At 37.5% G+C, this 16175-nt stretch overlaps 2 pseudogenes; one reads left to right on the top strand and one right to left on the bottom strand.

The window, feature by feature from the left end:
• Positions 5337 to 5964, top strand: OR2E1P (olfactory receptor family 2 subfamily E member 1 pseudogene; annotated as a pseudogene).
• COX11P1 (COX11 pseudogene 1) lies at positions 13864 to 14574 on the bottom strand (annotated as a pseudogene).

The following is a 16175-nucleotide window of genomic DNA, read 5'->3' as shown; positions in this document are numbered from 1 at the left end:
CCCCTCACCTTCAGTGATCTGGTTCCTCCAATTCTTATGCCTTTATGGGTTTCTCCCATATGAATCTATTTGCTTGTTGACTCCCAGCATTGCTGAGTAAGTTTTCTGCTTTCTCAGGTCTTCTAAGACAATTACCACTAAACCACCTAATTATCAGCTTCTACAAAGTTGTTGACATTGTGTTTCTGCTGTGATCTCCTTTCTCATCCTCTTTTTAGGAGTTTACACTTTTTTATTCTTTTACCCCCATTTTAGTAGGTATAGACAAATGCATATGTTATATATGCCATGTTTAGCCTGGAATCTGTATCTTCAAGATCTAGTTAAATAGCACTCACAGGCCGGTCACGGTGGCTCACGCCTGTAATCCCAGCACTTTGGGAGGCCGAGACGGGCAGATCACGAGGTCAAGCGATCGAGACCATCCTGGCCAACATGGGGAAACCCCGTCTCTATTAAAAATACAAAAATTAGTCGAGCATGGTGGCGAGCACCTGTAGTCCCAGCTACTTGGGAGGCTGAGGCAGAAGAATCACTTGAACCCGGGAGGCAGATGTTGCAGTGAGCTGAGATCGCGCCACTGCACTCCAGCCTGGAGACAGAGCAAGACACTATCTGAAAAAAAAAAACAAATAGCATTCACATTCATGATCCCACCATCGGCTGGATTCCTACTTACAAGTAATTTATTTCATTTTCAAACTGTCCTTGTCATCGAGGATGACACTTAGCACATTCTTGGTTGTTGTTAGTTATTTATGCACATGTAGAAAGGTCCTGGTGTATAGATTTCTTGGAACAGAGGGTGGGTATGGTTGGTTTTTCCTATCCCACACTGCATAATATGGTGCCCCATGCTTGGTAGGCACATAAGTAATATTAATTTAATGAGTGAATGTATAAATAAATGACTGAATAATCAACTAATATATTCTCTGAACTTAAACATTAAGACTACATTCTATGTTTTGGGAATTGTAAGTATGATAATTTTCTTTTGAATGTATTTCATCTTATGAAATATTTGTCTCTAAAATTAGTTTATAAGGTCTTTAAATGGAGGAGCCATGTATTTCATATCATTTCTTGCAGTTACTACTTTGCCCTTTAGATACAAAATGCTCAGAATTAATTCCTTCTGAGTGGGCGGCAGAGGAGATGCAGGGCAAATTTAGCTCTCCCATTCAAAGGGTGATCTTGAGGGATACCTGCACCATCTGAAAACTGGATTTGGAGACATGAACTTACTCTTGGTGAGTAAGGCTTATGATTTAGAAGAAATATAAAATTACCTATGACCTTTTATCCATTCTTTCTATTCTCATTTTCCTCTCTAAACAGACAGCTAAAATTTTACTTTTTCTGACAAGCAGTCCACAATTACTGAGCTCTTATTGCAGTATATTTTTGCTTCTACTCAGTCACACCCAGTACACCTCTGTTTCAAGATTTATGCTGTACCTTCTACCTGAATGCTCTTTCCCCAAATTTCACATCTCCTTCCTTCTCTTTATTCAGGTCTTTACTCAAAATGTCACTTTATCAGTGAGGACTTCGTCAACTTCTTTATATAATAAAAATCCTTTTAGCATGCCTTATATCCCTTTGTGCTGAGTTATTATTCTCTCTAGTACTTATCACTACATGACCCATTAGTTATTTATCTATGTGTCTGGCGTCTGTTCCCTCCAACTGCACTGTAAGATCTGGAAGGGCAATATCTATTTTTTCCAATTGTGTACCCCTAGCACCTAGAATAGCGAATAATCCTTAATAGGTGCTCAAATAATTCTTATCGAATAAATAATTTCCTAAAGTATAAATATTTCTAAAGCATGGTCCAAAGACCACTTGCATCATCTGAAGTAATGGTTGAAAATACAAATTCCTGGGTCCACCAATGACTTACAGAATCAATATCTATGAAGATGCAAGGCATGAATATATATTTTGAACATTTACATTAAACAATTACAACACAAAGATAAAATGGCCTAATTAAATGCATAATCCAAAACCCAGTAAGAACAAACTAACATAATAAAGAGTAGATACATTGGTTCATAGGTGGATAAAACAAGAAAAAATAAAAGAATAAGCAGATTTGCATAGAATTAATCAGAAGAATTTCTTGGGTTTGGCATAGTTATCCAAAGTGGCATAAATAATGTAATTATTGGCTTGGAGCTGGATGAAAGGCAGACCAGCTGGGTAAGGAGTATGTGATTTCTATAAAGAAAACTGCTCCAGCTTCAAGTACAAGTGCAAGATAAGAAGAGACGCAAATCTAGATCAAGCAGAAACCTCTCTCAGTGTATTCATTTCAAGAATTCTTTCTAATTATACTTGCACATAAATGTAGTTAACTTCACTGGGTGCAGTGGCTTACACCTGTAATCCCAGCACTTTGGGAGGCCAAGGTGGGAGGAGGATTACTTGAGTCCAGGAATTTGAGACCAGCCTGGGCAACATAGTGAGAACTTGTCTCTGAAAAAAAAATTTAGTTAATCATGAATTAGATGCCTATCTCTTGTTTTACGTGACACAAGCATGTATCACTATTACTCACATTTCATACAAAACATTCTCCTTCATATACTATAAAGATAGAATTGATAAAAGTCAAGGTTTCTTGTACTTTGAGTTGCTTTTTAAGGAGAGGGGTTACTTTGTGCTGACCCATCATCACATGATGTCACTCATTTAAAATAGCTTAGAATAAGGGTGTAGTCTGATTGTAGATATGGTCCTTTCCCTTTGAAACCAACTGAGCCATGTGCAATAATGATCTTGTCTTCATAACCAGTCTGTTCTTATTTATTGACTTAACTCATGTGTTACATACACCCACAATCCCTTCAGGGTTCATAGACCACACACTAAGGGAATTCTCATAAATCAACATTGTTTAGGTGGATCACTTTAAAACCAGATTTTAGTCACCCAGCAGAGAAAGAAATTAAAATCACACTTACAGATCCAGCCAGCAGACTGAAACAAGTCTGTCTGGTAGAGGTAATCATTATGATAAATAAATATGTACTTTCTTTGGTAAAGCACTCTCAGAATTCATTCTCACATCTAATCTCCAAATCTCTGCTCCAAACTAGCAAACTCCTACAATGTTTCTTATGTATTATCCTTTTGCTCAGCATTGTCTTTTAATTAGCCTTGGAAGAGCCTGCTGGGATCTAACCCTGTTTACTTGATAGGTATGGAGAGGGCCATGAGGAGACTTGGCTTCCTTTTACCCTGTGTCCGTCTCAGTAAGGAGGTACAGCATTTTGTAAATATTTCATTTTTTAGAGCAATTTTAGGTTCATAACCCTCTGCCCCCACAAATGCATAGTCTTCCTCATTATCAACATCCCCACTAGGGTAGTTCATTGGCTACAACTGATGAACCCACATTGACACATCATTATTAACCAAAGTCCATAGTTCACATTGGGATTCACTCTTGGTGTTACACATTTTATGAGTTTGTACAAAGTTATAATGACATGTGTTCACCGTTATAGTATCTTACAGAGTAGTTTCGGTGCCTTCTAAAAATCCTCTGTGCTCCACCTGTTTATTCCTCCCTCCCCCTTAATCCCTGGTGACCACTGATCTTTTTATTGTCTGTGTAGTTTTGCCTTTTCCAGAATGTCATATAGTTGAAATCATATGGTACGTAACCTTTTCTTATTGTCTTCTTTCACTTAGCAATATGCATTTAAGTTTCCTGCATGTCTTTTTATGACTTCATAGTTCATTTATCTTTAGCATTGAATAATATCTCATTGTCTGGGTGTTCCATAGTTATCTATTTACCTACTGAAGGATATCTTGGTTGCTTCCAAGTTTTGGCAATTATGAATAAAGCAGCTATAAACATCTGTGTGCACATTTTTGTGTGGACGTAAGGTTTTAACTCCTTTGAATAAATACCAAAGACTGCAACTTCTAGGTCATATGGTAAGATTATGTTTAGTTTTGTGAGAAATCACCAAAGTGTCTTCCAAGTGACTGTATCATCTTGCATTCTCTACCAGCAATGAATGAGAATTCCTGGTGCTCCACACCTGAACTGGTATTTGGTGTCATCAGTGTTCTGAATTTCAAACATTTTAGGTGTGTAGTGGTATCTCATTCTTTCAATTTGCATGTCCCTGATGACATACGATGTGGAACATCTTTTTATATGCTTATTTGCCATCTGTATATTTTTTTTGGTGAGCTGTCTGTTAAAACCTTGGCCCATGTTTTAGTTGGGTTGTCTGTTTCACTTATCATTGATTTTTTTTGGCGTTTTTGATGTATTTTTAACAGTCTTTTATCAAATATGTCTTCCGCAAATACTTTTTCTTTCAGTCTATGGATTTTCTTTTCATTCTCTTGATGGTATGGGATTTTCAAGCAAGGCAACTTTATCAGACAAAAGAGGAAGACCATCTTGTCTAGAATAGGAAGGTGGGGGTGGGGTATCATGAACACTGTGTATGTACCATATACCCTCATTCTAATTCTTGGGTCCTACTCTTTATCATCAGTGCTCTGACTTAGAAGAGACCTGCAGAATATTTTCAATTTATTATCTGGTGCCATTTTCTGTATCAGTCAGTTGTAAACAAGAAAAGCAAGTCTGATAACAAAAAGATAAGCAAAAAGAAAATATTAGAAGAGTAGTAGTTCATAGAATCAATAAGAAGGGTAAAGAATAAAACTTGGCACACACACAAAAGGCAGAAATGAGGAGAAGCAAAACAACCAAGATGCCACCCCTGGAAGAAAGCATATAGGACACATCGTTTGAAGTTGTCATTATGGGACATCAATCCAGGAAGGCAGCTTCTCTGTACTTTTGACAATCCCTTTCTCCTTCTTCATTCTTTTGCATAATTTCTACCCAGACTCAAGTCAGGGGTAGAATCATGTGATTAACCAAACTGAGGTGACATACTCCCTTTGCTGCCAGGCATCTGGGAGAATATGCAGCCCACCTTCCACTGGTTTCCTTAGTCAGACATAAAAGCCATAACAACTAAAGTCTACTAACCTATCACACATGGTTTTGAGTTGGGGGAAAAATGTGAAACCACTTTCTTTACTGAAAGAGCTTTTCAAATATTACTTCATAATGTTAATTATAGTAATTATTATATTCATTCATTCATTCACTGATTCATTATTCATTATTATTGTTATGATTTCTATTTAGGGTGTGTCCCATCTCTCCCTACTAAAACTATTTTTTCCTAGAAAAAGTTCTGTCTTCAGAACTTCTACCAACTCAGAACATTTTAAAAATCACTCTTATCTTACCTGATTTTAGCAGGTTGGTGTCACTGAGATTCAGTGAAGTACTTGAATGAAAGTTTCCCAGAGGATTTCATTCTCATGGGCTTTGTCAAATATCCATGGCTGGATTTTCTTCTCTTCTGTGTCCTCTTGACCTTCTACATGTTCACATTGTTGGGAAATAGTGCTATTATTCTGGTCTCTCAACTAGATTCCCAACTTCATAGTCCTATGTATTTCCTTCTCACCAGTCTTTCCGTCTTATATCTCTGTTTCACCACCACAACAGTACCTCAAATGCTGTTCAATTTAGGGGGCCCAACAAGAACATCACTTAAATAGGCTGTATGGCCCAGGCCTATGTATTTCACTGGCTAGCCTGTATTGAATGTGTCCTTCTTGGCATCGTGGCCTTAGACTGCTATGTGGCTGTCTGTAAGCCTCCAAGGTACACTATAATCATAGACCATAAGGTCTGCCTGCACCTGTCCAGCACTGCTTGGCTAATTGGTCTGGCCAATTCACTGCTGCAGTCAACAATCACAATTCAGTTGCCCCTGTAGAGGTGTATAGCTCAGATCTTCCTTTAGTTAGAGTCTGTCACCTAACAGTCTCTAACTGTAACAACCTTTGAGATCTGCTACAGCATTCTATCTGAGGCCAACTTCATGCTGGGGAGCTCCAAACCAAAGATTGAAGATGGTGAAGATACCAGGGCCTGCCAATTTCTCGCATACCTGGGACTTCTCTAGTGAGAAACCTTTATTCTAGAGCTCCCCATTGGCTGGCAATGGGGACGTGAAGTAAGAAGGTAGAGCTTAAACACCAGCAACCAAGGGACTGCAATTATCATAACAACCAGCAGACACATAACTAGCACAATGAGCATGTGAATGGAGTGGCCAAGGTGGCAGAGATAAAGACTACACAAGAGTGCAATAGAATAAACTCCCATTTACTAAAGCAGAAATAACAGATGCTGCCTGTAAAGGTCCAAAGTTCCAGCAATAGATACCAATGCTAAGACTTTCAATGTCTTAGCTATTCTTGGTATGGGTTTAACATTCTTGTTCATATAGCCCCAGTCAAGACCACTATATAGGGATATTTGGGTTCATATGCATGGAATCTCACAAAAGCTAGTGTGTGACCATACAAACTGGTGAGGAGACCCGCTTCCAGTAAGCCCATAATGATGGGACTCACTGGTCCTATTCCAAACCACATTATCTAGAAGCACCTGATCTGACAGAGAGTTGAACTGGCTTGCTGAAGGCACAGCTGCAGCACCAGCTCAGAGGTAATACGGCATTCTCCAGGATGCAATGTATGTACTACTGAATTAGAGCTCCTAAATGGTGCTGTGTCTCCAAAAGGAAGAAAACGTGAGTCCAGGAACCAAAACATGGAAGCAGGAGTGGCCCCATTAATCATTACTTCCAGTAGACCACTTGGGGATTTGTATTTCCCATTCCCACAATTCTGAGCTTGGCAAAATTAGACTCCTAGTCTCAAAGACAGTCCACTCTTGCCAGGGGATATAGCAAGAAGCCCATTGAAGTAAAAGCTACAACTGCCACCTAGGCATTTTGAGATCTTTGTGTCCAGGGATCAGAAGAGAAGAGAAGAGAAGAGAAGAGAAGAGAAGAGAAGGTAGAGCTGTTTTTACATAGTGAGATCAGGGTGGAATACATATGAAGCTCAGATGGTTCACTTAGTTGCCTCTTGATATACCCTTGTTCAACTGTAGTCATAGATGGACAACTAGACAAACAGAACAGAACAAAAAACCAAGAGAAAAAAATACTTTTATTCATAAATAAATGGGCCTGAGGATTAGTGAAGAAAAATGAATTATTCAATAACAAGTGTGAGACAATTGAGTATTCATGCAGAAAAATACAAATAAAATGGAATCACTGACTCATATCATACCCCTCCAAAATGTATCCTAAATGTAAAATATTACTTTATAAAAACAAAATTTTATATCATTTGAAAAAAATATAAGATCATATTTTAATCTTATAGGGTTAGAAAAATTTTTCTTAAACAATATCCAAATAGTACAATCCATATAAAAATAAAAATAAATTTAACTAAATTAACCATAAAATCTTCTGTGCCTCAGAAGACACCAATAAGCAAAACAGAGAGATAGGCCTCCAATTGGGATGTCAGAGATGGATCCAGGTTTTGTAGAACCTGAATCCTGTATAATCTGGGGGACCCTTTTCAAAAGTAGAATACAAAATTATGAATGTATAATTACTACAAATGCTCTTGCAGCCTTCAAAGCAACCCAGGCAAGTGAAGAATCCTAAATATCAAAGACGTGTAAAGAGCTTTTTATAAATCAGTAATAAAAAGACCAGCAGTCAAAGAGGAAAGCATAAAATGATATGAAACCAGTAATTAACGAATAAGGAAATACAAATTAGAAGATTCTCACTAGTAATAGAAAAATGCAAATTTTAAAAATCATATATAAAATTATACCAATAAAACCGGAATAAGTTTTAAAGTCCAGGGATATCAAAAGTCGAAGAAGCCACTGTACTCCATAGGCGACAGAGCCAGACTCTGTCTCAAAAAAAAAAAAAAAAAGGTCAAAGAGGACGTTGACCAGCAAGAACTCTCACACACTATTAGAAGGAGTATAAACTGAGAATAAGTTAGCAATATCTAGTGCACAGATTTCCAGCTAGCCCACTGTGGCACATAGTTGGGCTATGAATGTGTGACAGGTGTGCTGTTGAGATACGGATCTCCTTACAGAGGCCAGGCAAGACCATAGGAAATTAATAACTATAGTTCTGGTTGCTTCTAGCCACAAGCAGCTTTATACATCACTTCCAGTTTGTTATACAATTGTCACTTACTTATGTACCATGAGAGAAGAAGGGTTGAGAATAACTGTTTCTGTTAGAATTCTTAGTTGCAAGCATCAGAATCCACTCTACAGATGAAATAGTATAAGAATTTATTAAGAATATCAGTTGACTTAGAGTCTCCTGAAAGGCCAGAGAAACACTAGAATTATGCAGTCAGGAAAAAAAATGCCCAAATTTCACTCCCAGACTGCTCATACAAGCAATCCCACAACAGTGGATAATTATCATCACTTTCAATATGAACACGAAACACAGGACACTACAGCATGGATCTTGGTCACTTTTGCTTCTAAAAGTTCTTAACATGACCACACTGCTACCTCATTTACAGAATTCGGCATAGCATCCCCTTCCTCACAGTGCTCTCTTCTAAATTGAAGTTTTTCATGAATGCATCTTATTGGCAAAACCTATGTTACATGCCTGCTCACTACCTGCAGAAGAAGTTAAAAAATGGGTTTTTCTAGCACCTACCTTAAAAAGGTAGAAGTTATAATGGGGGAAAGTCATAGCTATAGGAAGGGTGCTCCAAGTATTCTGGGTAGCCACAAATATGTCAAATATTCACAACATCCAATACAATAAAGAGAAACATATCCCCTTCAGCAATTTCACTATTGGGTAAATGTCATTTTAAAAAAGCTAAATGCACTAGTGATGTCCTCACACATGCACAAAAGAAGATGTACAAGAATGTTCATGACAACATTGTTTGTAAACAATTTAATTCACACCAATAGGAGAATGATGAGTAAATTGGGGTACATTTATAATCTGGAATAGTGTACAGTAGTGAAAACGACCAGGCGTGGTGGCTCACGCCTATAATCCCAGCACTTTGGGAGGCCAAGGTGGGCAGATCACAAAGCCAGGAAGGAGTTCGAGACCAGCCTGACCAAAATGGTGAAACCCCCGTCTCTACTGAAATACAAAAATTAGCTGGGCATGGTGGCACATGCCTGTAATCCCAGCTACTCAGGAGGCTGAGGCAGTAGAATCGCTTGAACCCAGGAGGCGGGGGTCACAGTGAGCCAAGATTGCGCCACTGCACTCCAGCCTGGGTGACACAGCGAGACTCCTTCTCAAACAAAACAAAACAAAACACAAAACATGTAAAGCGTTAAGCAAAACAGATTAGTAAAGAAATAGTTTTAAAATATATATATATATAGACACACACACACACACACCACTTACGGATATTTTTAAAGTTATAGATAGATGCACAATCTAAAATGCACAAAAATGAAAGCCATCAAATTCTGGGATGATGGTTGCCATTTCTTTTTTGTCTTTCTCTCTTTCTTTTCTTTACTTTTTCAGACAGGGTCTTATTCTGTTGCTCAGCTGGAGTGGAGTGCAGTGGCACAATCACAGCTCACTGAGGCCTCTACTTCCTGGCCTCAAGCGATCCTCCCATCTCAGCCTCCTGAGTAGCTGGGACTGCAGGCATGCACCACCTCAACATTACTAATCATCAGGGAAATGCAAATCAAACTACAATGAGGTATCATATGATTCCAGTTAGAATGGCTATTATCAAAAGATGAAAAAAAAACATGCTAATGAGGATGCAGAGAAAGGGGAACTTTCATACACTGTTGGTGGGAGTGTAAATTGTATAGCCATTATGGAAAACACTATGGAGTTTCTCACAAACTAAAAATAGAACTATCAATCCAACAATCCCACTCCTGGTATTTATCAAAAGGAAAGGAAATCAATATATCAAAGAGGTCCATGGACCCCCATGTTTATTGCAGTATTATTCACAATAGCAAAGATACCAGATCAATGTACATGTCCATCAGTGGATGAATGGATAAAGAAAATGTGGTACATTTAAGTAATGAAATATTATTCCACCATTAAAAAAGAAGAAAATCATATCATTTGCAGCAACGTGAATAGAACTGGAGATTATTATGCTACGTGAAATAAGCCAGACACAGAAAGACAAGTATCACATATACTCACATGCGGGAACTAAAAAAGTTGATCTAATGAAGGCAGACAGTAGAATGATAGTTATTAGAGGCTGGGAAGGATGTAGGTGTGGGGGTGAAGAGAGGTTGGTTAATGGATACAAACATACGGTTACATTAAAGGAATAAATTCTAATGTTAGTTGAGTAGGGTGACTATAGTTAACGATTTATCATACATTTTAAAATAGCTAGAAGTGAGGACTTGAAATGTTCTCAACAGATAGAAGTGATAAATGCTTGTAGTGATGGATATCCTAAATACCCTGACTTGAGCATTACACATTCTATGCATGCAACAAAATATCACCTGTACCCCATAAATACGTACAAATATTATGCATCAATAAAATAAATAAGTACATAAATATTTTGAAGATAAATTTGATAGGAGTTTGATGGATTTTATGTGAGGGTTAAAAAACAGAAATGCCCAAGTTTCTGATTTGGACAAGTGAACAAAAGGGATGTTGGAAGAAGATCAGATTTGGGTGCAGAGATTACAAGTTTGGCTTTGAACATGTTTTGTTTGAGATGCCTTTAAGGCACTTAAACATAGAAGGAAAAACAATCATGACATTCAATCATGGATTCAAATCAAATCTGGAGATGTGAATTTGAGACACATCCACAAATAAAATGAGATACCAGTAAACTGACCAAAAATTTAGAAAAGTTGTAACACTTGTTGCTCTTTGAAGTGTGAGGTGGTTACAGCCTTTTGGAAAGCAAACTAACAGCATCTATTGCTAAAAATACATATGTTTTTCCATCTATCAATACTATTTATGAGAACCTATGTCCTATAAATAAAATTGTCTGTGCAAAACAGGCGTGCATAAGAATGTATATTGCTGGATAACGAGGTTAGGAGATGGAGACCATCCTGGCTAACATGGTGAAACTATTTTGTATTTTAGTCTCTACTAAAAATACAAAAAATTAGCCGGGTGCGGTGGCAGGTGCCTGTAGTCCCAGCTACTTGGGAGGTTGAGGCAGGAGAATGGCGTGAACCCGGGAGGCGGAGCTTGCACCACTGCACTCCAGCCTGGGTGACAGAGCGAGACTCCATCTCAAAAAAAAAAAAGTGTATATTGCTAACTTGTTCATGATGATACAAACTGGAATAGTATGACTGTTAATAAATTAGCTATTAAAATAAACACGTTGGGGCCATTTTAAATAATGCTTAATAATCATTCCAGATGACTCACAACACTTTCTAGTAGGATTCTAGAGGTATAAAGAAAATATGGCCAGGTGCGGTGGCTCACACCTGTAATCCCAACACTTTGGGAGGCCAAGGTGGGTGGATCACCCGAGGTCAGGAGTTCGAAACCAGCCTGGCTAACATGGCGAAACCTCGTCTCTAATAAAAACACAAAAATTCGCCAGGCATGGTGGTGGGCGCCTGTAATCCTAGCTATCGGGAGGCTGAGGCAGGAGAATCGCTTGAACCTGGGAGGTGGAGGTTGCGGCGAGTTGAGATTATGCCATTGCGCTCCAGCCTGGGCAACAAGAGCAAGACTCCATCTCAGAAAAAAAAAAAAAAAAAAAAAAGATCCACATGTAAGGGTACCTAGTTAACTAACCCCTCAAAGCCAAGGGAGCTAGCGGATCAGGAAAACTGGATATGAGTCCTGGGTCTGTTGAGCTCAGCAACACACTTCATGTATCTGAGCTCTGGTTCTTTCAGCTTTAAAATGAGTAGTTTGCATATTTTTAAAAAAATTATTGAAATATGCATATACTTAGAAATACATAGCAATATGTGCACAGTGAAATGAAATACTGCAAAGTAAAACCATTCATATAACCACTACCAAGGTCAAGAAATAGAACCGTTACCTGTGCCCCACAAGGCCCAGTTGTGCTCCCTGCTAAACTTTGTTCCTTTCCTTCTCCCTGTTGTGACTTCTAACATCAGATATTGGTTTATTCTGTTCTGAACCTTATAGAAATGAAATCATGAAGGGTGTGTTTTTCATCTTTTTTTTTTTTTTTCATTTTCTTCTCTTTATTTTAGAAGAAAGTAGATGATCAGCTCACTAGCCACATCAAAGGTGCCAATTCTCTAAAGGGTAGACTCTGTGCAGCTTTGAAGCCTGGAAGACAATACCTACCAACATGTCAAAGCCACAGTGGAGCATTTCTGCTATGATGAAGATTAAATAGAAGAATAACAGTTCCAGGATAACATTGATTCCTGACAACAGCGTGAGATTTCAACAGAACTTGTTTGGAACAAATACTCACTTAAAACTTCAGCAGAAGAAAAATTACTTAGTCCTTAGGCCAACAAATTTAACTGCAGTGTCATATGTTTCACAGGCCTTCCTACATTTAGAAATCGTCACACAGCTGTGATAAGAGTAGATTATTTTACTACAAAATAATTGGAACAGATGAAAACATAAAATGTGAGAAACTGAATGTATTATTCAGGAAGAATATTGAGTGCCTTCATTTAACTAAAGTTGAATGTAAAAGTCAATTTGCACTTCTTTATAATCCTCTGGTTTGGAATTATAAATTGTTAAAACCTTGATGTTGTCATTTAATTATATTTCAGGTGTCCTGAACAGGTCACTAGACTCTACATTGGGCAGCCTTTAAATATGATTCTTTGTAATTCTAAATAGTCTTTTTTTCTCTTTTTACTGCAACTTAACATTTCTGTTTGGAACACAGAAAATGAAAATATTCAGAATAAGTTGTACATTTGATGACAAATAAATCACTATTAAAATAATTTACACTTTTTTTTTTACAAAGGTTTGTTTCCAGAAGAACTTTTGATGTCAGTAAATCTTCACAATCCCACTTGTACATTTTAGCATTCATGGACTTGTAATGATGATGCTTTGGCTAGCAGCCTAGTAGATGTATTTTATTTCAATTTCATGATACTACAATTTCAAAGTAATTATTCAGAACTCTGAATATAAAATAGCCCTAAATCTTAAAGGACAAATCAAATTTGAAATAAGAATTTAAATCTTTGGACAAGCTGTTAGGGCTTGGTGACTCCTCTTCTACTTTGAGCTTTTAAAATACTGACTGTTTATAATGAAGGAAAATAGCAACCAACTCTTTTAGACATAATAAACATGGTCAGAAGTTCTGGCCTATGACTTGAAACAAATAACCCTGAGCATTCATTTTTGAAAAACATTGTCAGATTCTTTGCTATAAGTATGAAGAGTTAATAATCTGGAAGGGAATTATAGAATTAAGCTGAACCCATGCCTGCATATTTAAAAAACAAAGCGGCTTATTTTAATGCTATCAAACTCTTCAGTATGGTATTGAATAGTCACTCATATATTCTAGCTAGGCATGTGGGTTTGTTATGATAAAAGCTGAACTTGTTCTCTCAATTTTAAGTGAAATAAATTAGTTGAGAAAAAATAATTATTTAAAATATAAGTCTTCATATTATTGTACAATATTTCTCCTTTGAGAAGATAGGATACATGATTTTCCCAAAAATCACAACTTTGAAGGAAGACTTAGTTGCTGACTTCAGTTATATCCTGGAACTGGCAAATTGTGCCCTTCCTTTGCTTCAAAAAAAGTGTAAGAAAGAGTGATAAGATCAACATTAATCATTCTTGGGTCTTTAGCAAATTCAGGATCAATGTAGAAAAACACTGGCATATCTACTTCCTCTTGGGGATTAAGCCTTTGTTCTTCAAAACAGAAGCACTGTATTTTATTGAAATACTGTCCAGCTTCAAATGGAACAACATTGTATGTAGAAATTCCAATTAGTGGTTTGTCAGCAGGATTCTTAGCTCTGTAAAACCCCAGTGCAGTGTCTCCTGGCACCACATATATTTCTGTTTGCTGAAGTCTAAAGTTCCACTGAAGACTTGCATGCACATCTGCATCAAAGTTAATTTTAATGATTCGATCCTTAACAGGCACCATGTTTTCAATCTGGTCTGAGGCATGACCTGAAACTGCTGATCCTCCAAGTCCAGTAGTCTGGCAATAGAGCCGATAAAGGGGAACGGCAGCGTAGGACGCCCCCAGCATGCCCACGGCGACAGCGGCCACGTTAAGTGAGGGTCGTCTTGTTCCGCCGCCCCCGCCGCTCCTCCTCCTGCGCGCGCCTGAAAGGGTTTGAGCTCTTAGACCGCCGCGGCGGCTGCAATGCTGGATACTGGGCTCAAAGGCTGCAGCGCTTCCATGTCTCAAGCCACCACAGTCGTCTCTGGGCACCTCCTGTCCCACTCCACTCTGGCCTAAGAAACCGCGCTACCCTCTCTGCAGCCGTGGCTGGAGACCCAGGGTGGATCCAGCGCCAGCCACAGAAAGCGACGCGCCTCCATCCCGGATGCCAGAGCCCTCCCATAACCCCCTGAACTAACAACCACCCGCCTCTCAGGGACGAGAGGTCAAATGTCGTGTTTTTTGTCTTCTTTTACTCACTATTCTGGCTCCTTTTACTATTATGTTTGTGAAATTTATCAACGTGGTTTGTAGCTGTAGTTCATTCATTTTCGTTGTTACATAGTATTCAGTTGTCTGAATAAACTTTTTTTTAAAACCCATCCTACTGTTAATGGACATTAGGGTTGTTTCCAGTTTAAAGCAATCACCAAAAAATGCTTCTAAGACATGTCTTTAGATGCAAGCACATATGCGTTTCTGGTGGCTGGGTCACAGAATACGCATACATTCAACTTTAGTAGATATGCCAGAGTTTCCCCAAAATGGTTTCACCAATGTACACTCTCATGAAAAATATGTGAAAATTCCCATTGTTCCATAATCCTTGCTGAAATTTGGCACTGTGAATCCATTTCTAGCAGGGATTTCAGCATTGCGTTTGTGATTCCTTAAGAAATATCAAAGGACCTATCATACTGGCAATATGTAAAAGCCTGAAAACATACAGATCATGAGGCTGTGTGAAGACAGGCACTCTCACACTTTGCTGTTGAGAGTACAAAATAACACAACCTCTACAAAAGTCTCTCTCTTATTGTTCATTGCAGCATTATTTGTTAAAGCAAAATATTGGAAGTAATCCAAATACCCACCCCCAAGAAACTGGTTAAAAAAATTATGGTACATCCACAGAATGAGTTATTATGCAGGTGTGAAAAAAGAGGACTACTTCAAAAACAGGACATTTCTAGGCTTTTCTGTTAGATGATAAAGCAAGGCATGAAAGAATGTATATAACATAACTTATGGGGTACAGAAGATAAATACTCATTTTTGCAAGAAAAAAGAGAAAAAGTAGGGAAGGGAGGAGGGAATGAAGAAGGAAGGAAGGAGAGGATAAATAAATAATGAAAATTGGGTATGAGTATATGTGGTAAAGGGACTGGGGATGGAAGCAGAACTCCTCTAAACATACCTTTTTATATAGTGTGGATTTTGAACTAAGTAAATGTTTTGAATTGTCAAAAAAATTAAAAAGGGATGAAAGCAAACCCTGAAATGGAATATAAACAGAAACAAATGCTCCTAACCATATATCGTTTAAAATATAACCACAGAGAAAATAATTAATTCAAATAAGGTATTTATACAGCTATACTCCCTTAATGGGATATAATTCAAAAACAAAACAAGCAAAGAAATTTTGAATTCTACATAGTAGATATGTTATTGCTAGTGATGTATTGGTATTATAATCTTGAAACTATTTTGTTTATAAGAAACTATTTTGTTTGAGTGAATTTATTTATGCTGTTGGGAGCCAGAGTTTTCACTGTGGGTGAAAAGAAAAAAAACAAATGTGCAACGGTGAAAAATGTAAAAGAATTCTGTGGAGTTGTTTTTGAACAGAAAGTATCTTATAAAATCCTCCATATATATATTATATATGTATATGGAGGATTTTATATCTGTATATAATATATATTATGTACATAATATATAGTATATAATATATTATATATGTTATATATAATACACATATATATAATATAAAATCCTCCGTATATAATATATAATATATAGGATAATATGTAATATGTATTATATATAATATA

Source organism: Homo sapiens, chromosome 6 (genome assembly GCF_000001405.40).
Source record: "Homo sapiens chromosome 6, GRCh38.p14 Primary Assembly".
In the NCBI taxonomy this organism is placed as follows: domain Eukaryota; kingdom Metazoa; phylum Chordata; class Mammalia; order Primates; family Hominidae; genus Homo; species Homo sapiens.
The sequence above is the reverse complement of the archived record's forward strand: the minus strand, read 5'-3'. Positions and strand labels throughout refer to the sequence as shown.